The sequence below is a fragment of the Homo sapiens genome, chromosome 14 (genome assembly GCF_000001405.40).
Source record: "Homo sapiens chromosome 14, GRCh38.p14 Primary Assembly".
Lineage (NCBI taxonomy): Eukaryota > Metazoa > Chordata > Mammalia > Primates > Hominidae > Homo > Homo sapiens.
In genome coordinates, this window is record NC_000014.9 from 74,712,933 (window position 1) to 74,738,620 (window position 25,688).

The 25,688-nt window shown below is 41.2% G+C and overlaps 2 protein-coding genes across 13 annotated transcripts in view, besides 1 other annotated feature; one reads left to right on the top strand and one right to left on the bottom strand.

The window, feature by feature from the left end:
• Positions 1 to 148, bottom strand: part of AREL1 (apoptosis resistant E3 ubiquitin protein ligase 1) — a 51,825-nt gene extending 51,677 nt beyond the window's left edge. For all 9 annotated transcript variants that reach the window (XM_005268244.4, XM_047432019.1, NM_001437432.1 and 6 more), the window contains exon 1: positions 1 to 148. The gene's annotated coding sequence lies outside the window, so the exon portion shown is untranslated.
• Positions 46 to 325: an enhancer, noted in NCBI's record as "active region_8729". NCBI's record gives its function as "activates an Ori minimal core promoter by ATAC-STARR-seq in GM12878 lymphoblastoid cells {active_cell/tissue: GM12878}" and the evidence as "EXISTENCE:reporter gene assay evidence [ECO:0000049][PMID:35858748]".
• FCF1 (FCF1 rRNA-processing protein) lies at positions 212 to 25,688 on the top strand. Of its 4 annotated transcripts, none has more exons than NM_001318508.2 (8): positions 212 to 327; positions 553 to 620; positions 1,940 to 2,011; positions 3,019 to 3,167; positions 10,340 to 10,412; positions 19,799 to 19,886; positions 21,144 to 21,238; positions 21,950 to 25,688. In NM_001318508.2, the coding sequence occupies exons 2-8, from the start codon at positions 586 to 588 to the stop codon at positions 21,996 to 21,998; spliced, it is 561 nt and encodes a 186-aa protein (NP_001305437.1). In that variant the 5' UTR covers positions 212 to 327; positions 553 to 585; the 3' UTR covers positions 21,999 to 25,688. The 4 variants fall into 4 exon arrangements, with proteins under 4 accessions (NP_001305437.1, NP_057046.1, XP_011535118.1 ...); NM_015962.5 differs by having other exon boundaries at positions 212 to 268; XM_011536816.4 differs by lacking the exon at positions 1,940 to 2,011.

The following is a 25,688-nucleotide window of genomic DNA, read 5'->3' on the forward strand; positions in this document are numbered from 1 at the left end:
CCGAGCCGGGGGTTGCAGCGCGACGAAGTTCCACCTCCGCTGTCCTGGGAAGGGGCGGCAGCACTCAGCAGAAGACGGGCTCCCCACTCTCCCACCAACAGACCCCAGAGTTGGTCTCCACCCGGCCTGGGAACCGGCTCGGGGGATTGCCCTTTCCCCAAGGAGTTTCCGCTTCCGGGCTATCCTTTGCCGGAAGCAGTATGTGAATGACGTAGAAGTATTGCGCCGTTGGTGATTACGGAAGAACCAGGAGTTTGGCGTGACCATGGTGAGAGAAGACGGTCCAAGAAGGGACGTTATCAGGCCACTTTTTGGGTGGAGAAGGAGGTAGTCAGACCGTGGCCAAATTTCCTTCACATTATCCTAGCATATTTTCATTCTGGTCTTAGCTCTTAAACTTCTCCAAGCGGTGACTGTTATGCTTTACAGAGTGGGGAAGAGGGTCTGGGTTATTTGAGGCAAGAAGGGAAGGCAATAGACAAGAGAAAAGAAGAGACTTTAAAAGATGCCGTGTGTTTCCAACTTTTTTAATTCTAAAATTTCTGTTTCAAGGGGAAGCAAAAGAAAACAAGGAAGTATGCGACCATGAAGCGAATGCTTAGTCTCAGAGATCAGAGGCTGTGAGTGTCTGGAATCAACTGCCCAGGGATATTCTAATAAGAGTCTAGAGAGGATAAGTAGTAAAAATGTTTGTTGTTATTATTTTGTTTTTTGCTTATTATCGTGTCTTAGATTTATATAGCATGAGATAGCCAGTGTTTAACAGTAATTTAGCTGCTGAGCGATCACACTGGGAAAGGCGATGGGAATTAAACATTTCTTAAGTGTTCACTTTTTCTACCGTTATATGCTTTGTCTGCCATATCGCATTTAAACCTCATGTCAGTTCGGTGAAGTCCGTATAGTTCTCTTTATGTTTTTACCATTACACTACTACATTCCCCTGGGGTGGGGCGAGGGGAGTGTTTCTTGTTGAAAGATGGCAAGGTTAGAGACCTTGTTTGTCTGGCGTTTCCAGTGCCTGGTACTCAAATATTTTTGTCAGAGAAAATGGGAAAACTCCAAGATATCTCCATTTTATAAGTCTTACTAATATAAGAATCCAAATCACTGTGGAAGAAGAAAGTGAAGTGAAATTCCCTAGTATGAAGAGGATCAAAGCGGTGTCCCTGCTTAAGTGTAGAATAAGCATAGCTATTAAATAAAGACTGATCTTCACTGAGTTTAAGAGTCTCAGAAAGCCGGGCGCAGTGGCTCACGCCTGTAATCCCAGCACTTTGGGAGGCTGAGGCGGGTGGATCACCTGAGGTGAGGAGTTCAAAACCAGCCTGGCCAACACGGTGAAACCCTGTCTCCACTAAAAATACAAAAAAGAGTCTCAGAATAAGAGAATAGTCGTTAAAACCTTCAGAATTATTATTCTCAGCCTTTAGTGTGGATGTATTGTGTAATTTTTAGGAATGACACTCCATTAATAATAATTTCTTTCTAGTTAAGGGTTAAGTTCTGTATATGCGTTTTTACATTTTAGCCCTTTATAAGAAGCATATGGGGTAATACTTTTCCCCCAAAAGTTAAAGCATCTGAATCTTCAGAAGATAACTGTCACCCTTTTACCCATTGCTTGGAAGTGGATTGTGATCCTTGATGTGAGAGATTCTGACTAAAAAATAAATATAGTATAATCAGCTTTTATTTACTCATTAACAATTCTTATGCATTATTGGCATTACTGGTTAATTCTGATACTTCCAGGTACTGTGCTTTGCACTAGAGTTATTTGCTCAGAAAGAGTATGCTGATATTAACATGAGGATATCACAAAGTAGGATTTCTTCAGTAGACCAAAAAAAAAAAAAAATGGAACTTTAGATTTTTGAGATTTTAATTGCTGTGGTTTTTCTTCTCCCTTGGATTTAATTTACCTTTTTCTTCCTAGTAAAGAAAAGGATAGATTAAAACCTAAAAAGAAAGAAAAGAAGGATCCCAGCGCATTAAAGGAAAGAGAAGTGTGAGTAATCAAACGTTTGAAGTTTTCCTTTAAAACCATAGACCTCTTAGAAATCCAGGCTTTCCCTGAGCTGGTTTGCTAACTTATTTGTTAGTAAGTCTAGCACAACTATGTAGATGAAAGTCATATCGATGAGCATATATCAATTCTAGTGGTTTGAAGGTTTTGGGATTTTATGGAGCAGTAAAATTTCCCCTAAAATCCTGGAGATATTATCTAGGATTATTAACTTTTTCTTTGCCAGGGATCTTTTAAGAGACATAAGTGCCATTGTTTAACACACCAGCAGTTCATAAAAGAGAGACTGTATCACCAAAAAATATTTAAAATATATTTTCAGAATAAAGATATTTATATAAAGATATGACCTTTATATAAAGATATAAAGGTATTTCATTCCTTTTAAGTAAGTACATTTAACTTTATGAAAACTTTACCACATTTTCCTTATTTTTCTAATTTTTCCCTGGATTGGTAATGGACATATTATCACAGGTAGATACTGATCCATGGCCTAGCATTTGGAATCACTGTCATATTCAACCCAGACAACTTGGGCTAGATGTGATACAGGTCCTGCTGTAGTATATAATCCTAACACTAGACAAACTGTTCTCTATCACATTCCATAACAGCAGTTTTAGAATCCTTTAAGAATGACAAACGTGTTGTTGTATCATTCTAATCACGATAACTGTATTCTACCTCCCTGTGCCCATGGTGATTCTACTTTTGCTAGAGGAAGAGCTAGATTGGATAATTGCTTTTTTTGTTTGTTTGTTTTTGATAATTGCTTTTTTAAAGTTGGTGACAAAGGTTGCCAGGGGAGCTGAGATTAAGATAATGATATTACTTTCTTCCTTGCCTTCCTTTTTAGGATTTATTTCCAATGAACATGGACAAAAGAGTTTACAGCAAACAGTCCCAAGCAGACTTCTTTTTTGTTTTTGTTAATACTAGGGTATCAATGTAAATTTTTCTTTGTTCTTGTTTTCTTTTTCCTTCAGTCCCCAACACCCTTCCTGCTTATTTTTCCAATATAATACACAGCTGGGCCCACCTTACCACATCCTCGTTGATACCAACTTTATCAACTTTTCCATAAAAGCCAAACTGGACTTAGTGCAGTCAATGATGGACTGTCTGTATGCCAAGTGTGAGTATCATACTTTTATGTTTCCGTGACATTTGTTCAGAATAATTATATTTATACAAATACATGAAAGGAGGGAGATGGGGTTCTTGTTAACTGAATTGCTGGCCATTTAATTTACAGTGGTCACCATAGCAGTGACCATGTTTAATGAATTGAAGTATAATGCAAACTTGACTGGAAAAAATTAAACTTTCACAATTCAGAAAACACTTAGAATGCTTCGAGTATCATTATGGACATCAATTTTGAACATAGGGGAATTTTCTGTTTTAGAATTCTAGATTTTAAAATTCTAGATAAATGAAAAATCTATTTTTCAGTATCTATATTCTTTTATGTTAACAAGGATATGTTCTCCCTTTTGCCCCAGTGTTGAAACACTAAATAAGACATTCTGCCATTTATGATCACAGCCCTAGAAGTTAGATAGATGATGGTCAATTCCTAAGTTTATTCAGTTTGGTATTTATTCGTAGTACAGAGGATCTGAGGTAGTTTATTTACACCTAGGTATGCAATTTACCATTAATAGATTTCCCTTGTGTATTTGTATATCCCCTCCTTTAAATGATCTTCCTTCACTACCATGAACAGGAAAAAGAAAAGTAAGGCCATCTATGAAGCCTATCATAGTAAGATCTGTCCCATTTGTAGCGGGTTTATATTTATATATTTTTCAGTCACCCGGTTAGAGGTACGAATGAAAATTAGACTTAAACTTTGCCATAGAGGATAAATTACTGGAATCAAAGGGAAAAATTTGTACCTCCCTTTTTAAGTTTTAAAGGCTACTATATAATGAACAACAGTTGCAGAGTGATAGAAATGGTAAATGTTGTTTACTGATTTATTAAAATGAGCAAGATGAGAAGATGGGGTTAAGGAATGTGTGAAGGGGTAAGAAAGCAGATTCTTTAGATGCCCAAAAATTAATTAAGAATGGCTGCAGCCGGGCGCAGTGGCTCATACCTGTAATCCCAGCACTCGCGGTGGCTCACGCCTGTAATGCCAGCACTTTGGGAGGCCAAAGCAGGCGGATCATGAGGTCGAGATCGAGACCATTCTGGCCAACAAGGTGAAACCCCATATCTACTAAAAATACAAAAATTAGCTGGGCGTGGTGGCACGTGACTGTAGTCCCAGCTACTTGGGAGGCTGAGGCAGGAGAATCGCTGGAACCTGGGAGGTGGAGCTTGCAGTGAGCCGAGATTGTGCCACTGCACTCCAGCCTGGCAAGAGAAACTCCATCTAAAAAAAAAAAAGAATGGCTGCATACATTTATTAGCTGCATACGTTTATTAAGATGTGAAGGTAGCCATCAGATGAGAAAAAAATGGAGCTAATGGAATAAAATAGTCTTCTCTACAGATCAGAATTGATTGGGTGGCAATGGTCAGGGGACCATTGTTTTTTCATATAGGCCTTTCTGTATTACTTTTTAAAGCTATATACATAAACTTTTGAAATAAATCTTTTAGAAATAATCTAAAGTTGAGGTGCTACCAGGCCTCTAAGAATGAGGCTTGGGTGACCCCATATGGGGGAAGACACTAAACTTGGTAGTCTCTTTGTATTTCCCATGGTATTTCTAATTGAGCTGCTTCTCCAGGAATGCTGTGACCTACTTATCAATGAAACGGATAGAGGGTCAAAGCATGGCCCTTTGCTTCCTTGATGAATTGCTTCCTTGACTCTATACCTCCACCAGTAATATCTAGATAGTGACTGTTAGAGCTTTAGGCAGGATAGCTTTAGTCTTATGGCTTTCTTTAAATATGTATACTTTTTTTTTTGAGACAGGGTCTTGCTTTGTCACCCAGGCTGGAGTGCGTTGGCGTGATCTCAGCTCACTGCGACCTCCGCCTCCCAGGTTCAAGCAGTTCTTCTGCCTCAGCCACCCCAGTAGCTAGGACATGCCACCACGCCTATCTAATTTTTGTATTTTTCGTAGAGGCGGGTTTCACCATATTGGTCAGGCTGGTCTCAAACTCCTGACCTCAGGTGATCCACCCACCTCGGCCTCCCGAAGTGCTGGGATTGCAGGCGTGAGCCACCGTGCCTGGCCTTGCTTGCCTTTATACTTAAAGGAAGGCCTTTCTCTTCCTCTTACCTTGAAAAGGCCTGTTTGATCTTTACATGGTTCCTGGTCTCTTCTATTTCCACTTTATAGTCCAACAAGGAAGGATAGTTTGCTTCCCATTGGCTTTCTCTTCTGCCTATGAATCCTGAGGCTGTTACTTTCCCTTTCCTTGTAGTGGTTTTCCTGAGCCTGCTTCCCTACTTCAGTTGCAAGCCTTTGCTCACTTCACTGCTACATGGCTCTGAAATTGGTCCTCTTAAAGAACACATTGCCTTGTTTCATGATCTCAGTATTAAAATATATATATATATTGAGACAAAGTTTCACTCTGTGGCCCGGGCTGGAGTACAGTGGGGTGATCTCTGCTCACTGCAACCTCTGCCTCCCAGGTTCAAGTGATTCTCCTGCCTCAGCCTCCCGAGTAGCTGGGATTATAGGTGCATGCTGCCACTCCCAGCTAATTTTTGTGTAAAGTAGAGACGGGGTTTCTCTATGTTGGCCAGGTTGGTATCGAACTCCTGACCTCAAGCATTCCGCCCACTTTGGCCTCCCAAAGTGCTGGGATTATAGGCATGAGCCACCACGCCTGGCCAGTATTAATATACTTCTAAAAAATTCTAGCATAAAAAAATGGAAGTTGAAGCCTGGGCAACATAACGAGACCCCATGTCTACACATAATTTAAAAATTAGCCAGGGGGCCAGGTGCGGTGGTTCACACCTGTAATCCTAGTGCTTTTCAGGAGTTCGAGATCAGCCCGGCCAACATGGTGAAACCCCATCTCTACTAAAAATACAAAAATTAGCCAGGCGCAGCACCATGTGCCTGTAATCCCAGTTACCTGTGAGGCTGAGGGAAGAGAATCTCTGGAACCTGGGAGGCAGAGGCTACAGTGAGCCGAGATCGTGCCACTGCACTCCAGCCTGGGTGAGAGAGCGAGACTCTGTCTCAAAAAAAAAAAAAAAAAAAAAAAGCATGCATCGTGGCATGCACCTGTGGTCCTAGCTACAGATGCTCAGGTGGGAGGATCACTTGAGCCTGGGAGGCTGAGGCTACAGTGAATTGTGATTATGCCACTACACTCCAGCCCAGGCAACAGAGCAAGACCCTGTCTTTAAAAAAAAAAAAAAGAAGAAGAAGAAGAAAAGAAAGTTGGGCTGGGCGAGATCTTCACCCCGTAGTCCCAGCAGTTTGGGAGGCCGAGGTGGGAGGAGTTCTGGGCTTGAGCTCAGGAGTTCAAGACCAGCCTGGGCAACATGGTGTGACCGCATCTCTACAAAAAAAATTTTTTTTAAATCAAGCTGGGCATGGTGGCTCATGCCTGTAATCCCAACGCTTTGGGAGGCCAAGGTGGGTGGATTGCTTGAGCCCAGGAGTTTGAGACCAGCCTGGCCAACATGGCAAAACCCTATCTCTACCAAAAGAAACCACAAAAATTAGCTGAGCATGGTGGAGCATGTCTATGGTCCCAGCTGCTTGGGAGGCTGAGGTGGGAGGATCACTTAAGCCTGGGAGGTCGAGGCTGCACTGAGCTATGTCCATGTCACTGCCCTCCAGCCTGGGTGACGGAACAAGAACCTGTCTCAAAAGGGGGAAAAAAAGGAAGTTGCTTATAATGCATTTCCTCAAAGGAGCAATTATAAAAATTCATAAATCTGTGTGAGATGGAGGGTTACTTTTATTTATTAATGAAAATGGCCTGTAATCCCAGCACTTTGGGAGGCCGAAGCACGCGGACTACCTGAGGTCTGGAGTTCAAGACCAGCATGGCCAACATGGCAAAACTCTGTCTCTACTAAAAATCCAAAAAAAATTAGCCGGGCGTGGTGGCAGGTCCCTATAATTCCAGCTACTCGGGAGGCTGATGCAGGAAAATCGCTTGAACCCCAGAGGCAGAAATTGCAGTGAGCCAAGATCGTGCCATTGCAAGAGCGAAACTCCGTCTCAAAAAAATAAAAAAAGAAAATGGATCCTGTATTATTTTTTGCTTTATAAAACAGATTTACTGAAATATAATTGACTCCCTTTACAACTATACAATTCATCCCTTTAAAGTGTACAGTTCAGTGACTTCTAGTGGATTCACAGAGTTGTGCATCATCCATCACCATAGTCAATTTTAGAACTTCCATTATCCCAGGAAGAAACCTGGAGACCCTTAGCCATCACCCTGCAACCCTCACCATTCTCTCTATTTCTAGGCAACCACTAATCTACTTTCTGTTTCTATAAATTTCCCTATTCTGGACATTTCATAAAAATAGAATCTTATAATATTTGGTCCTTTTTCATTTAACGTACTGTTTTCAAGGATCATTTATATTACAGTTTGTATCAGTACTTCATTTCTTTTTATTACTAAATAATATTCCACTGTATGGATAGATCACATTTTAATCATTTCTACTTGCTTTTTACATTGAACTATATATTTTGAACATTTTTCCATGGCATGTATATATAAATGGGCCTCATTCTTTTATTTTGAGTCAAGGTCTTGCTATGTCATCCAAGCTGGAATGCAGTGGTCTGAGCCAATAGCTTACAGCAGCCTCAACCTCCAGGTCTCAAGTGATCCTGCAGCCACAGCCTCCCAAGTAGCTGAGACTACTGGAAAGAGCCACCATGCCTGGCTATTTTATTTATTTATGTTTTGTAGAAACAAGGTATCAATCATGTTGCCCAAGTTTTTGGGGTTTGTTTTTTTTTTTTTTTTTGAGACAGGCTGTCACTCTGTCACCCAGGCTGGAGTGCAGTGGTGTAATCTCAGCTCACTACAGCCTCTGCCTCCCGGGTTCAAGCAATTCTCATGCCTCAGCCTCCCAGTAGCCGGGATTGCAGGTGTGTTCCACCACACCCACCTAATTTTTTTTTTTTTTTTTTGAGACAGAGCCTCACTCTGTTACCCGGGTTGGAGTGCAGTGGTGCAATATCGGCTCACTGCAACCTCTGCCTCCAGGCTTCAAGTGATTCTCCTGCCTCAGCCTCCTGAGTATCTGGGACTACAGGCATGTGCCACCACGCCCAGCTAATTTTTTTGTATTTTTAGTAGAGATGAGGTTTCACCATGTTGACCAGACTGGTCTTGAACTCCTGACCTCAGGTGACCTGCCTGCCTTGGCCTCCCAAAGTGCTGAGATTACGGGCATGAGCCACCACACCCAGCCCTAATTTTTATATTTTTAGTAGAGATGGGGTTTTGCCATGTTGGCCAGGAATTCTTTTTTAAAGTTATGTATGGCCGGGCACGGTGGCTCACGCCTATAATCCCATCATTTTGGGAGTTCGAGGCAGGTGGATTGCTTCAGGTCAGGAGTTCGAAACCAGCCTGACCAACATGGTGAAACCTTGTCTTTACTAAAACTACAAAAATTAGCTGGGCGTGGTGGAGGGCGCCTGTAATCCCAGCTACTTGGGAGGCTGAGGCAGGAGAATCGCTTGAACCTGGGAGGCAGAGATTACGCCACTGCACTCCAGCCTGGGCAACAAAGTGAGACTTCAAAAAAAAATAAAGAATGAATAAAGTTACATACTATAATTGCTTCTCAGCCTTTTGGCTAAGATCAGGTGTAAAGTTACATACTATTCTATTGTTTAAATACATAATTTTTTAAACCCAGTATCTTATTAGGTATTTTGGTTATTTCCAGGTTCTACCCAATTAACAAGTCTGTAGTAAATATCCTTATGAATATGTCTCCCTAAGAGTGTATTTCTTTAGGATACATTGTCTGGAAGCTGTATTATGTATCAAGGGATTTGTGTATTTTTAATAGGTATTGCAAATTTGCCCTCAAATAGTTGTACCAATGTATATACCTACAAACTTAGTATGAGAATACTTGTTTCCTCAATATTGGGTATTTTCTTTTTTTTTTTTTTTTTTGAGATGGAGTTTCACTCTTGTCACTCAGGCTAGAGTGCAATGGCACGATCTTGGCTCATTGCAACCTCCATCTGCTGGGTTGAACTGATCCTCCTGCCTCAGCCTCCCAAGTAACTGGGATTACAGGTGCCCAACACCATGCCCAGCTATTTTTTTTATTTTTAGTAGAGACGGGTTTCACCATGTTGGCCAGGCTGGTCTCGAACTCCTGACCTCAGGTGATCCGCCTGCCTCAGCCTCCCAAAGTGCTGGGATTATAGGCGTGAGCCACTACGCCCGGCCAATATTGGATATTTTCATCTGTTTAATCTTTGCCACTCTTCTAGGTGCCACTCTTCCCAGTCTTTGGCCCAATAGACTCCGTTCAAATGTTGGCTTTACCATTTGCTATCTATTTAGTTAACTTCTTTGTGTCTCAGGTTCCTCACCTATAAAATAGGGATGATGATTTTTTTTTAAACTATTATATGGCTTTCTGTTTGATAGTTGTCAAACAGAAGTTTTTAAAATTTTTATGTGATCAGATTTACATTATCTGGCTAATTTCATGGTTTCTTGTGGTTCACATTTAAATTTTATTTCATCTGAGCCAGGCACAGTGGCTCACACCTGTAATCCCAGCACTTTGGGAGCCCAAGACAGGAGGAATGATTGATCCCAGGAGTTCAAGACAGCCTGGGCAACATGGCAAAGCCCCATCTCTACAAAAAAAAAATGTTTTTTTTTAATTAGCTGGGCATAGTGGTGCGTACCTGTGGTCCTCGCTACTCGGGAGGCTGAGGTGGGAGAATCATTAGAACCCAGGAGGATAACTAGAACCCAGGAGTTTGAGGCTGCAGTGAGTTGAGATCGTGCCACTGCGCTCCAGCCTGGGCAACAGAGCAAGACTCTGTCTCAAAAAAATAATAAAAATAAATAATTTTTTTCCCATCAGGAACTTACATTAATATAAAAATAATGACAGAGTTCAGCTTAGTTTTTTTTCCCCAGATATGTTTATAACAGGGAATCTGCAGTTTGGGGTTGGGACAATCTTAGTTTCTTAGGGTTTTCTTCTACTCTAGTTCTTCTTGTATATTTCAGTGTGCTAATTCTGCTGTCATTGCAAAAGTGTCCTGGGTCTTTTTAAAACTCTGAGCAGGGATATAATTCAGAGATAATTTCGTTACAAGTTCTGTTCTTAATGTGAATTTTTTTCCCTGGCAGGTATCCCATGTATAACCGATTGTGTAATGGCTGAAATTGAGAAATTGGGGCAGAAGTATCGAGTGGCTCTAAGGTAGGAAGGAGGTAAACTAGATCTGTTCTAGATTGGTATACTGAAGATTCATCTGTTTGTTGTTTAAAGATTTCTTGGCCAGTTAGTTGTGAAAATCATACAAAACTATTTATCATTTTTGGGGGGGTTGTTTTGGTCTTTCTCTCACACAAAAATCAGTTCCAGTTAGAGTGTCTAAACTTTTAATAGAAAATACAGAGAATATCTTGTCCGGGCTCGGTGGCCTGTAATCCCAGCACTTTGGGAGGCCGAGGCAGGCAGATCACCTGAGGTCAGGAGTCCGAGACCAGCCTGACCAACATGGAGAAACCCTATCTCTTCTAAAAATACAAAATTAGCCGGCTGTGGTGGCAGGTGCCTGTAATCCCAGCTACTTGGGAGGCTTAAGCAGGAGAATCGCTTGAACCTAGGAGGCGGAGGTTGCAGTGAGCCTACATCACGCCATTGCACTCCAGCCTGGGCAACAAGAGCAAAACTCTGTCTCAAAAAAAAAAAAAAAGAGAAAATACAGAGAATATCTTAATGAAATTGAATATTTGTGTATAGCAAAAGATATCATTAACAAAGTAAACAGACATACATAATCAACAAAGGGCTTATTTTCAAAATGCATAAAGAACTTCACATCTGTAAGAAAAACATAATTCTTAAATTCACAGTGAGTTGTCATTTAGTGCCCATTAGATTGGCAAAAATTTTTTAATGAGCTTGACAATGCCAAGAATAGTTAAGACCATGAAGCAATGGGAATTCTCATACTGAACTACTAAGGGTATAAATTGGTCATCACTTTGGAGGGCAACTTGACAATATCTGGTAAAATCCAGGTTGTTCATACTCTTACAACACAGTCTTTTAACCTGGAGATCACATTCTACAGGTAATTAAATTGGTTTAAAGGATCACAATGCCTGGTGGGTTTGGGGGGTTTTTTGTGTTTTGTTTTGTTCTGTTTTTGAAGCAAGGTGTTGCTCTGTCACCCAGGCTGGAGTGCAGTGGCACAATCAGGGCTCACTGCAGCCTCGACCTCCTGGGCTTAAGCAGTCCTCCTGCCTCAGCACCCTCAAGTAGCTGGGACTACAGGCATGCAACACCTCACATGGCCAGTTTTTTAAAATTTCAGTAGAGATGAGGTCTCACCATGTTGCCCAGGCTAGTCTTGAACTCCTGGGCTCAAGTGATCCTCCCACCTTGGCCTCTCAAAGTGCTGGGATTATAGGCATGAGCCACCACACCCAACCCCCGAGTATATTTTTTAGTGTAACAGAAGAAACTATAGGCTGGGCACGGTGGCTCATGCCTGTAATCCCAACACCTTGGGAGGCTGAGGCAAGTGGATTGTTTCAGCCTAGGATTTCCAGTCCAGCCTGGGCATCATGGTGAAACCCTGTCTCCACAAAAAGTAAAAAAATTAACCAGGTGTGGTGGCATACACCTGTAGTCTCAGCTATTCGGGAGGCTGAGGTGGGAAGATTGCTTGAGCCCAGGAGGCAGAGGTAGCAGTGAGCTGAGATGGTGCCACTGCACTTTAGCCTGGGTGATAGAGTGAGACTCTGTCTCAAAAAAAAAAGAAAGAAATTATAAAATATTAGCATGAATATGTAGAAAAAATTGGGTACTGCTTCACAAAACTTTTTTCGCTGTTATATGTGTGTATATGTATATGTGGTATATGTGTGCATACTGTACGCTAGATAAAATCTATCTCGTGCTATGGGTTCTGGTAAAAAAAAAAAGAAAGAAAAAGATTGCTATAGAGAAGTTCAGCTACTATTGGAGTCAAGTATTGGCATCTTCTTATGTACGTAATAGCAAAAAATTGCAGACAGCCAGAAGAAATGGCTTTTCTTAAGCCATAAAGGATGGCCAGGCATGGTGGCTCATGCCTGTAATCCCAGAACTTTGGGAGGCCGAGGCAGGCAGATCATTTGAGGTCAGGAGTGATCCTCAACATGGTGAAACCCTGTCTCTACTAAAATATGAAAATTAGCCAGGCATGGTGGCGGGTGCCCATATTCCCAGCTACTCTGGAGGCTGAGGCAGGAGAATCATTTGAGCCCAGGAGGCGGAGGTTTCAGTGAGCTGAGGTCATGCCACTGTACTCCAGCCTGGGCTACAAAGCAAGACCCTGTCTCCAAAAAAAAAAAAAAAAAAAAAAAAAAAAACTGGGTACAGAAGCTCACGTATAATTCCCAACACTTCGTGAGGCCAAGTGGGGAGGATCGCTGGAGCCCAGGAGTTTGAGACCAGCCTGGCCAACATAATGAGACCCTGGCTCTACAAAACTTTAAAAATTTGCCGGGCGGCCAGCCAGGCGCAGTGGCTCACGCCTGTAATCCCAGCACTTTGGGAGGCCGAGGCGGGTGGATCACGAGGTCAGGAGATCGAGACCATCCTGGCTAACACGGTGAAACCCTGTCTCTACTAAAAATACAAAAAAATTAGCCAAGCGTGGTAGTGGGCGCCTGGTAGTCCCAGCTGCTGGGGAGGCTGAGGCAGGAGAATAGCATGAACCCGGGAGGCGGAGCTTGCAGTGAGCCGAGATCGCGCCACTGCACTCCAGCCTGGGTGACAGAGCGAGACTCCATCTCAAAAAAAAAAAAAAGAAAATTAGCCAGGCATGGTGGCTTGTGCCTCTACGGAGTTCAAGGTTGCAGTGAGCTATGATCACACCACTCCACTCCAGCCCCAAAAACAAAGTGAGACCTTGTCTCTTTAAAAAAGAAAGAAAAGAATAGATAAGCTGTGGAATGCTCATGAATAAAATACTATACAAGAGTGAAGATGAGTGAACTAGAGTTATGCGCCAATGTGGATAAATCTCAAAAACAATATAAACTATAAAAAAAAAACAACAGCAGTCAGGCACTGTGGCTCACTCCTGTAATCCCAGCAGTATTGGGAGCCCGAAGCAGGAGGATTCCTTGAGCCCAGGAGTTTGAGACCAGCCTGGGCAACATAGTGAGACCCAATGTCTATGAAACATTTTAAAATTAGCCAGGCATGGTGGCATGTACTTGTATTCCCAGCTACTTGGGAGGCTGAGGTAGGAGGATTGCTTGAGCCAGGGAGGTTCGAGATCATACCACTGCATTCTAGCCTGGGAGACAGCGAGACCCTGTCTCAAAAAAAAAGAAAAAGAACAATGCTGAGCACTGTTAACGCACATCTGTAGTTCCAGTTACTTGGGAGGCTGAGGCAGAAGGATCACCTGAGCCTAGGAGTTTCAAGCCAGCCTGGACAACAAGACCCCCATCTCTTTTTTTTTTTTTTTATTATACTTTAAGTTTTAGGGTACATGTGCACAATGTGCAGGTTAGTTACATATGTATACATGTGCCATGCTGGTGCGCTGCACCCACTAACTCGTCATCTAGCATTAGGTATATCTCGCAATGCTATCCCTCCCTCCTCCCCCCACCCCACAACAGGCCCCAGAGTGTGATGTTCCCCTTCCTGTGTCCATGTGTTCTCATTGTTCAGTTCCCACCTATGAGTGAGAATATGCGGTGTTTGGTTTTTTGTTCTTGTGATAGTTTACTGAGAATGATGATTTCCAATTTCATCCATGTCCCTACAAAGGACGTGAACTCATCATTTTTTATGGCTGCATAGTATTCCATGGTGTATATGTGCCACATTTTCTTAATCCAGTCTATCATTGTTGGACATTTGGGTTGGTTCCAAGTCTTTACTATTGTGAATAATGCCACAATAAACATACATGTGCATGTGCCTTTATAGCAGCATGATTTATAGTCCTTTGGGTATATATCCAGTAATGGGATGGCTGGGTCAAATGGTATTTCTAGTTCTAGATCCCTGAGGAATCACCACACTGACTTCCACAATGGTTGAACTAGTTTACAGTCCTGCCAACAGTGTAAAAGTGTTCCTATTTCTCCACATCCTCTCCAGCACCTGTTGTTTCCTGACTTTTTAATGATTGCCATTCTAACTGGTGTGAGATGGTATCTCATTGTGGTTTTGATTTGCATTTCTCTGATGGCCAGTGATGGTGAGCATTTTTTCATGTGTTTTTTGGCTGCATAAATGTCTTCTTTTGAGTAGTGTCTGTTCATGTCCTTCGCCCACTTTTTGATGGGGTTGTTTGTTTTTTTCTTGTAAATTTGTTTGAGTTCATTGTAGATTCTGAATATTAGCCCTTTGTCAGATGAGTAGGTTGCGAAAATTTTCTCCCATTTTGTAGGTTGCCTGTTCACTCTGATGGTAGTTTCTTTTGCTGTGCAGAAGCTCTTGAGTTTAATTAGATCCCATTTGTCAATTTTGGCTTTTGTTGCCATTGCTTTTGGTGTTTTAGACATGAAGTCCTTGCCCATGCCTATGTCCTGAATGGTAAAGCCTAGGTTTTCTTTTAGGGTTTTTATGGTTTTAGGTCTAACGTTTAAGTCTTTAATCCATCTTGAATTGATTTTTGTATAAAGTGTAAGAAAGGGATCCAGTTTCAGCTTTCTACATATGGCTAGCCAGTTTTCCCAGCACCATTTATTAAATAGGGAATCCTTTCCCCATTGCTTTTCTCAGGTTTGTCAAAGATCAGATAGTTGTAGATATGCGGCGTTATTTCTGAGGGCTCTGTTCCGTTTCATTGATCTATATTTCTGTTTTGGTACCAGTACCATGCTGTTTTGGTTACTGTAGCCTTGTAGTATAGTTTGAAGTCAGGTAGTGTGATGCCTCCAGCTTTGTTCTTTTGGCTTAGGATTGACTTGGCGATGTGGGCTCTTTTTTGGCTCCATATGAACTTTAAAGTAGTTTTTTCCAATTATGTGAAGAAAGTCATTGGTAGCTTGATGGGGATGGTATTGAATCTATAAATTACCTTGGGCAGTATGGCCATTTTCACGATATTGATTCTTCCTATCCATGAGCATGGAATGTTCTTCCATTTGTTTGTGTCCTCTTTTATTTCATTGAGCAGTGGTTTGTAATTCTCCTTGAAGAGGTCCTTCACATCCCTTGTAAGTTGGATTCCTAGGTATTTTATTCTCTTTGAAGCAATTGTGAATGGGAGTTCACTCATGATTTGGCTCTCTGTTTGTCTGTTGTTGGTGTATAAGAATGCTTGTGATTTTTTACATTGATTTTGTATCCTGAGACTTTGCTGAAGTTGCTTATCAGCTTAAGGAGATTTTGGGCTGAGACAATGGGGTTTTCTAGATATACAATCATGTCGTCTGCAAACGGACAATTTGACTTCCTCTTTTCCTAATTGAATACCCTTTATTTCCTTCTCCTGCCTAATTGCCCTGGCCAGAACTTCCAACACTATGTTGAATAGGAGTGGTGAGAGAGGGCATCCCTGTCTTGTGCCAGTTTTCAAAGGGAATGCTGCCAGTTTTTGCCCATTCAGTATGATATTGGCTATGGGTTTGTCATAGATAGCTCTTATTATTTTGAAATACGTCCCATCAATACCTAATTTATTGAGAGTTTTTAGCATGAAGCGATGTTGACTTTTGCCAAAGGCCTTTTCTGCATCTATTGAGATAATCATGTGGTTTTTGTCTTTGGTTCTGTTTATATGCTGGATTACATTTATTGATTTGCATATATTGAACCAGCCTTGCATCCCAGGGATGAAGCCCACTTGATCATGGTGGATAAGCTTTTTGATGTGCTGCTGGATTTGATTTTCCCGTATTTTATTGAGGATTTTTGCATCAGTGTTCATCAAGGATATTGGTCTAAAATTCTCTTTTTTGGTTGTGTCTCTGCCCGGCTTTGGTATCAGGATGATGCTGGCCTCATAAAATGAGTTAGGGAGTATTCCCTCTTTTTCTGTTGATTGGAATAGTTTCAGAAGGAATGGTACCAGTTCCTCCTTGTACCTGTGGTAGAATTCGGCTGTGAATCCATCTGGTCCTGGACTCTTTTTGGTTGGTAAGCTATTGATTATTGCCACAATTTCAGCTCCTGTTATTGGTCTATTCAGAGATTCAACTTCTTCCTGGTTTAGTCTTGGGAGAGTGTATGTGTCGAGGAATTTATCCATTTCTTCTAGATTTTCTAGTTTATTTGCGTAGAGGTGTTTGTAGTATTCTCTGATGGTAGTTTGTATTTCTGTGGGATCGGTGATGATATCCCCTTTATCATTTTTTATTGCGTCTATTTGATTCTTCTGTCTTTTTTTCTTTATTAGTCTTGGTAGCGGTTTATCAGTTTTGTTGATCGTTTCAAAAAACCAGCTCCTGGATTCATTAATTTTTTGAAGGGTTTTTTGTGTCTCTATTTCCTTCAGTCCTGCTCTGATTTTAGTTATTTCTTGACTTCTGCTAGCTTTTGAATGCGTTTGCTCTTGTTTTTCTAGTTCTTTTAATTGTGATGTTAGGGTGTCAATTTTCGATCTTTCCTGCTTTCTCTTGTGGGCATTTAGTGCTATAAATTTCCCTCTACACACTGCTTTGAATGCGTCCCAGAGATTCTGGTATGTTGTGTCTTTGTTCTCGTTGGTTTCAAAGAACATATTTATTTCTGCCTTCATTTCGTTATGTACCCAGTAGTCATTCAGGAGCAGGTTGTTCAGTTTCCATGTAGTTGTGCGGTTTTGAGTGAGATTCTTAATCCTGAGTTCTAGTTTGATTGCACTGTGGTCTGAGAGACAGTTTGTTATAATTTCTGTTCTTTTATATTTGCTGAGGAGAGCTTTACTTCCAAGTATGTGGTCAATTTTGGAATAGGTGTGGTGTGGTGCTGAAAAAAATGTATATTCTGTTGATTTGGGGTGGAGAGTTCTGTAGATGTCTATGAAAAAGCAAGAACATATGTGGAGTATACCATTTATCTAAAGTCTAAAAACATGCAAACCAATACTGCATTGTTTATAGATATGTGTATATGCTTTTTTTTTTTTTTTTTTTTTTTAAAGACAGATTCTCACTCTGTCGCCCAGGCTGGAGTGCAGTGATGCTATCACAGCTCACTGCAGCCTTGACCTCTCCGGCTCAAGTGATCCTCCTGCTTTGGCCTCCCAAGTAGCTGGGACTACAGGTGCATACCACTATGCATGTCTGATTATTTTTTTTCTTTTGCATGGCTAATTTTAAAAAAAAATTTTTTTGGTAGAGACTGGGCATGGTGGTTCACGTCTGTAATCCTGGCACTTAGGAAGGCTGTGGCGGGCAGATCACCTGAGGCTAGGAGTTCAAGACCAGTCTGACCAATGTGGTGAAACCTCATCTCTGCTAAAAATACAAAAATTAGCTGGGGGTGGTGGCAGGCACCTATAATCCCAGCTACTAGGGATGCTGAGGCAGGAGAATTGCTTGAGGCTGGGAGGCAGAGGCTGCAATGAGCCAAGATCATGCCACTGCATCCAGCCTAGGCAACAGAGCAAGACTCCATCTCAAAAAGGCTGGGTGCAGTGGCTAACGCCTGTAATCCTAGCACTTTGGGAGGCTGAGGTAGGCAGATCATCTGAGGTCGGGAGTTCTAGACCAGCCTGGCTAACATGGTGAAACCCCGTCTCTCCTAAAAATACAAAATTAGCTGGGCATGGTGGCGCATGCCTGTAATCCCAGCTACTCAGGAGGCTGAAGCAGGAGAATCGCTTGAACCCGGGAGCAGAGGTTGCAGTGAGCTGGGATTGTGCCAATGCACTCCAGTCTGGGTGACAGAATGAGACCCCATCTCCAAAAAAAAAAAAAATTTAGTAGAGATAGGGTCTCACTATGTTGCCCAGCTGGTCTCAAACTCCTGGCCTCAAGTGATCTTCCTGCTTTGGCCTCCTAAAGTGCTGGGATTGTAGTCATGATCCTCCACACCCAGCCTGGTAATTTTTAAAACAATAAAAATAAAGAATGAGAGGGGAAAAAATAGAGGCACCAAGTGGAAACACTAAGTTTGGCTGTCAAGAGATGCAGAAATGGGGTGTTAGCTGGAGGGGGGTATAGGTAAAAAGATTTTTTTGTCTTAAGGCAGAGAATATATGACAGCATGTTAGTATGTTTCTAGGAAAGAGCTAGTAGAGAGGAGACAAGTGATTTCAGGAGTAAAGAGATAACTGAAAGAGCATAGTCCTAGACTGTTGCCCACCTAGTTTGTCAGCAACCAGTCCATCCTCCCTCTAGTGTATCCTCCCCAGCACAGCCTGCTTAGTTTTTCCAAGACAGAGCTTTGTTCTTATCACTTTGTCCCCCAGAAATCTTTAATGACTCCTCATTACCTGTGTCATCACACTCGTCAGCCTGGCATTGGAGACTCTTTCTAGCCCCATTTCATTCTTCTCTCCACAAACACTCTGCCCCCAGCCAGAAAGATGTGTTTACTCTTCCCCAAATACCAAGAAACCATTTTACAGTTGGCTGGTGTCCTATTTGGTACCCTCACATTGCTTGGCACATTCTTTAATCTTATTTCACCCCATGTCATTTTTTTCTAAATATTCCCAACCCACATTGACCTAGCGCTGAACTACTGCAATATGGAGGAGTATTTGTGTTGCACTTGGTACATATGTGCTGTCTTGTATTTTTCTTCATTTCAGTGACTCATCATCACTGTTAATAGAAAGAGCATGGCTCTCAGAATCACACAGAGTTGGGGTTTTTCTTTTTCAAATATGTATGAAAATAATACATGTTTGAGTGTTTTATGGCAAACAATACAAGCATATACATATAGTAAAAGGTAAAAGTCTGCCTCTACATTCATACTTTGTCCATTCTCATACCCCAAGAGTGACAACTGACAAAGGTTAATATATTTTTTCAGACCTTTTTCTGTGCAAATGCAAATCTAAATAAAGAGTATTGGAAAGAAGGATTTGTATTTTATTAATTAAATCATATTATATATATATATATGCATATGCCCTGCTTTGTTTATTCAACAGTTTAGTGTAGGTCCTTCCACATTGGTACGTACAGCTCTACCTCACTTTTTATTAATAGGATAAGGGCACCAAAATGGGTTTAACTTTTACCTTTCTAAAGGATATTTTTATTTTCTTCACTTACTATAAACTGTGTTGAGTGATCATCCTTCTGCCTATATTCTTGTTCATTGTGTTTAAGACAACTTCTTAAAAGTGAAATGGTTAGGTTAAAATGGGTTTTGTTTTTGAATCCTGGCTTTTCCCAGCTGTATAGCTTTGAATGAAGTAATTTAATCTCTCTAAGCCTACTTCCTCATCTGTAGAATAGATATATAATAACTCAAAGTTTTGTAATGATTAAATGACCCAAAGCACACTAGCTGTCAGCCTTCATTCCCTGCCCCGTGAATTGTCTTTCCAGTTAGAGGATAAAGTTCAGGAGGAGAACAGTGCCTTAAAATCTCTGCATAGATCATGTTACTTTTATTGCATTAATTAAGACTCAGAAAGTTATCCAGCTGATTGAATGTTTTCTTTAATCCACCTACAGGATTGCCAAGGATCCAAGATTTGAACGATTACCATGTACACACAAAGGAACCTATGCAGATGACTGCTTAGTACAGAGAGTAACTCAGGTATTATCAGTTCATAACTGTTTACTTTGTGCTTAAAAAAAAAAAATGTAAACTATTATCTCCTGAATGTTCATGGTCAGTAAAACATCTAGGAATATACATTATGGTTAAATTAAAAAAAAATTGCATAGCATTCCTTCATAAGAAGCATAGGTGTCTTCATTTACTTGAGAAAGTGGATTGAAAATGTACACTCTAACCATAATGGAAAGAGCACAGGCTTGGGGAGGAGACATGGGTTTCACGTCTCAGCACCTGCATTTACTGGCTGTGTGATTTGGGACATTTAACTGATTCTTTATCTCACAAATCTCTGTAAAATGATTTTAAGTGAGTTAATGTAGAACCCATTTATTTTTGATGTAGGAATTTTGTTCCTCTTCACGATGCCTAATCCAAAAGTGCTTCTTAGTTAAATCTGAGAGTCTCCCAAGATGCTGTTTCACACATACCCTAGAATAAGTAGGTTTTTAATTCCTTCATTAAGCACCACAAGGACTTCTGCTACTGAGTGCTTTTATAAGGGCCTCTCTGCTGATGATAATCTTCATCTGCTCTGCTGACCACAGAGCCATCCTTTTAGCCACTTCACCCCATGGGGCGGGTGGGTGGGGCCAGTATTTCCCACAGCACAGCTGACACCACTCTGCCACTTTTTATAAAACTCAGTAGGAGAGTCAGACGTGACAGATGTGAAGCTTCCTATAAAATAGCTTTCACCTGACAGCTAAATATTACTGCTTTTATAACTGCTAGGCTCTAGTTTCAGGCCCTGAATATCCTACTTAGGCTTCCTGTTTCGGGGATAGCTTACCTCTAACATCAGTAGGCCCAGAGCACACCCAAGCCCCAAGATCTAGGGAAAGGAGGGAGCTATGGCCTCCAAATTAAGGCACTTTTTATCTCCATGGAGTTCCTCGGAGCATTTTCCCAAAACTAAAGAATTGTCTGCCCCAAGTGTGAAAGTCCCTTTCATTTATGAGCAGAAAACAGTTTGCAGCTTGTGAAAAGTTTTCTACCTTCTCCTCCTCAAGATTCTAAATGCTGCATTCAGCCCAGGCAACTTGTTTATTTTATATAACAAGATTAGGAGCTCCTAGATCATAGTAGGTACTCAACAAATTGTTATAGCCTGCCCTTCGCTACTTACTGTGAAAATGAACGATTCTCAGACTGGTCAGTCGTTGTGCCATTATCCAGTATTCACTAAGCGTGCTCAGTGACCTCAGTGTGAACATCACTCCATGTCTCTTACAGCATAAGTGTTACATTGTGGCCACAGTTGACCGGGACCTGAAAAGAAGAATCCGTAAGATTCCTGGAGTTCCTATCATGTACATTTCTAACCATAGGTGAGAAATTTCCCTTGGAGAAGGGAATAGAAATATATAATTGATATCAATTGAAAATGAGGATAAGTGATAAGGTTATAAAGGATTTGAAAGAAATTATTGTATCAAATGTTTACATAGTTATATTTGAAGAAATGAGACAAAGCAAGAGCAAGAGCAAAAGAGAGAGATAGGATTTAAGGAATGAGGCAAACATTTAAATTGTTAGAGTAAGATTACTGGAAGAAATAGACGTATTGTTTTAAATAAAAGCAGTAATTTAAATCAAGCTAATCTTTTTGGCCAGAAATACCTGTTTTGAAAGATTTTTTTTTATTAACACTTCATCTGAGAAATGGAAAGCTTATTTAAAAAAAAAAAAAGCTGTTATCCTTCTTGGCTATTTTTTGTCAGTACTCAGACTTATTTTCCAGCTTTTCAGCTTGAGGAGAGCACAATGTGGTGGGAAGTCTGTGGACTAAGAAGTTGGACTTACTGATCTCAGCTCCTCAGTTCCCCTCTTGCTGACTTTGTGACTTTGAAAAAACAATCATATTGTATTATAGTCAGCATTTTGCTGTAAATCATTCATTATGATGTTCCCCTAAATTGTTTCCACTGACAAAAAGGATTCACAGTGGGGGTGAGAGTATTGCAGTCTATAAAGGATGGGTTTTTAGATGGGTTCTCTTCCCATCTTTCTTACCGGTGTTGATTTTTTGTCCTGATCAGATACAACATTGAACGGATGCCAGATGATTATGGAGCCCCTCGATTCTAATTCTTACAAGACACAGTTCCTCTGCCTTTCTTCGACCAACTTTCTCTTGTTGCCAGTTCATTACACAAAATGTAGCGGGATTTTTAAGGAATCAGAGAGACTGATGGAGTTCAGGGAGATATTTATTATTTAGGTGCACCAGCCCAGTCAGATTAACATCCAAAGGACTGAACCCTGAACAGAGTTAAGTTACCTTTTAAGCATTTTGTGGGGCCGCGGGGGTTGGGGGGAATCTGTGCAGGGGGAAGCATATTACAGAAGCAAGAAAGACAGTTATTCAATTAACTGAGACATGCATTACATCATTTCTTACTTTTCAAGGAAAATCATGTTTTACGACTTGAGTTTATCTGTCTAGTTACCTTGCAGCTGCACAGCTAGAGAAACAGGGTATTTACAATGCCTGGGAAAGGAGGAGAGATAAGGCTCACTAGCCACAGAAAAACAGGCAGTTAATTTTTAAAGGACTCCAGCTCTTTCTCTTTCTCACGGGGAATTGGATTTTCTTACATGCAACTGAATTTCTGCTTACACATTTTTAAATTTCTTTTAATTGCTTTTCCAATGCAATAGCATGAATTATTATTCTGTTGACCTATTTGCCTTACTATGAGCTGAGGGTAGTTCAATATGCTCACTCTTTTTTTTTTTTTTCTTGAGATGAAGTTTTGCTCTGTCACCAGGCTGGAGTGCAGTGGCGTGATCTGGGCTCACTGCAACCCCTGCCTCCCATCCTTCAAGTGATTCTCCTGCCTCAGCCTCCCGAGTAGCTGGGATTACAGGTACACACCACCATGCTCAACTAATTTTTCTTTTTTGGGCGGGGGGGGTGGATATTTTTAGTAGAGACAAATACTTTTGTATTTTTAATACAGAAAAGTATGCCTCGGCCTCCCAAAGTGCTGGAATTACAGACATGAGCCACTGTGCCTGGCCTGCTCACTTTCTGATGCTGCTTTTTTGTTGTTTGTTTGTTTATTTGTTTGTTTTGAGACGGAGTCTCGCTCTGTCACCAGGCTGGAGTGCAGTGGCGCAATCTCGGCTCATTGCAACCTCCGCCTCCCAGGTTCAAGCGATTCTCCTGCCTCAGCCTGCGGAGTAGCTGGGACTATAGGTGCGTGCCACCACGTCCAGCCACTGATGCTGTTTTGCCACTGATGCTGTTTTGAAATTGATATTTTGTCTCATAAAAACTAGGCCAGGCATGGTGGCTCATTCCTGTAATCCCAGCACTTTGGGAGGCCAAGGTGGGTGGATCACCTGAGGTCAGGAGTTGGAGATGAGCCTGGACAACATGGCAAAACCCCACCTCTACTAAAAATACAAAAAAAATTAGCTGGGTATGGTGTCACGTGCCTGTAATCCCAGCCACTGGGGAGGCTGAGGCAGGAGAACCTCTTGAACCCAGGAGGTGGAGGTTGCAGTGAGCTGAGATTGCGCCACTGCATTCCAGCCTGGGTGACAGAGTGAGACTGTCTCAAAAAAAAAAAAAAATTAATGATGGTCAAAGGGTATAAAATCTCAGACAGGAAGAATATGTTTTATGCTTTTTTTGAGTTCTGTTGTACAGTGTGGTGCCTATACTTAATAATGGGGTATTATACATTTCAAAATTGATGTTCTCATCACAGAAATGTATTTGAAGTATTGCATATGTTAACTAGCTTGATTTAACTATTCCATATTGTATCCACAATTTATGATATCACTTTGTAACCCATACATTTATACAATTATAAATTGTCAATTTACAATAAAAAATTTTTGTTGCGTCTTTTTAGAAATCAGATATTCTGATGATTGCTCACATAATTTGGCGGTCATTGTTTTATACTGACTTACTCAATAAACATTTATTAAATGTATACTAGGTGCTTAATAAGAGATGGTCCTGCCCTCAAGACACTCATTATGGTGGGAAAGAAAAACATGTAAATGAATAAATGCCGTAAAATAGCAGTGCTAGGGTAAAAGTTTCAGAGGCATGTCATGGGCACATAAAGGTGGAATGATTTTTTTCTACTGGTTGGGATGGAGAGGGAGGAAAGGCCAGTGGTCATGTGGTTTGAGCTAATCTTAAAAATGAATAGGTGCCTCCCCAGTAAATTAGGAATGGAAGATGAAGCATAGGAAACAGTACACCATAGAAAATCCATTAACCTATGTATAATCCCAGCACTTTGGGAGACTGAGGTGGGCAGATCACTTGAGGTCAGGAGTTTGAAACCAGCCTGGCCAACATGGTGAAACCCCACCTCTACTAAAAATTCCAAAATTAACTGGGCGTGGTGGTGCAAGCCTGTAGTCCCAGCTACTTGGGAGGCTGAGGCAGGAGAATCGCTTGAACCCGGGAGGCAGAGGTTGCAACGAGCCGAGATCACGCCACTGCACTCCAGCCTGGGCGACAGAGTGAAACTCTGTCTCAAAAACAAACAAACAAAAAACCTATGTATTTGTGGGGATTTGGTATATTATTAAGGTGGTATTTCGTTTCTGTGGGAAAAGGAAATTTCATTAACAGGCCAAATAGTCTGGAGTCATTCTGTTAGTGTTAGAATACTAATTCCACCAGTTAATATCTGTATGAGTTGGACAAACCATATAACCATCTGTTGCCTTCCTTGTTTCCTCTTTAAAGTGTTTAATCCGCAAAACAAACCTGATAAAGTGAGATTAAATTGAATAGTACCTGGCCCAAGTAAGTGTTCTTCAGTAAATGTTAGTGATTATTACACAATGGCAAGGTGGCTATCCATTTGAAAAAAAATTAGGCCGGGCGTGGTGGCTCACACCTGTAATCCCAACACTTTGGGAGGCCAAGGTGGGCGGATCACCTGAGGTCAGGAGCCCAAGACCAGCCTGACCAACATGGAGAAACCCCATCTCTACTAAAAATACAAAAAAACAATTAGGCAGGCATGGTGGCAAATGCCTGTATTCCCAGCTACTCTGGAGGCTGAGGCAGGAGAACGCTTGAACCTGGGAGATGGAGGTTGTGATGAGCCGAGATCATGCCATTGCACTCATTCCAGCCTGGGCAACAAGAGTGAAACTCTGTCTCAAAAAAAAAAAAAAAAAAAGAGAGAGAGAAAAAAATTAGTTTCCTACTTCACATGATTCATAAAAATATTTCAAGTGGATCAAAGACCTAAATTTTTTTTTTTTTTGAGACAGTTTCTCACTCTGTCACCCAGGCTGCAGTGCGTTGGCACAATCATGACTCACTGCAGCCTTGACCTTCCCAGGCCCTGATGATCCACCCCAGCCTCTCAAGTAGCTGGGATTTTTGTATTTCTTACAGAGATGGGATTTTGCCTTATTGCCCACCTTGGCCTTCTAAAGTATTGGGATTATGGGCATGAGCCACTGCACCCACCCTAAACTTATTTCTAAGCTATGGAAGCATTAGGAAAATAAATGTAAAGAAAAACGTGTTTATCACCTTTGGATAGAATTCTTAAGCAGAATCTAAAAAGATTGAAGAGTTTGAATATATTAAAATTATAGATTTCTGTGCAAGACACTCCCCTCCCCTAAAAAACAAGTGACTGATGAGATTTTCCAATACATGTAACAAGGGTTTAGAGAAATGAGTACTGATGTCATGCTGACAGAAGTGCAAATATTTATGGCCATTTTTTACAGCTGTTGACAAGATCCACTAAAATAAAAATTGCAGATATCCTGTGA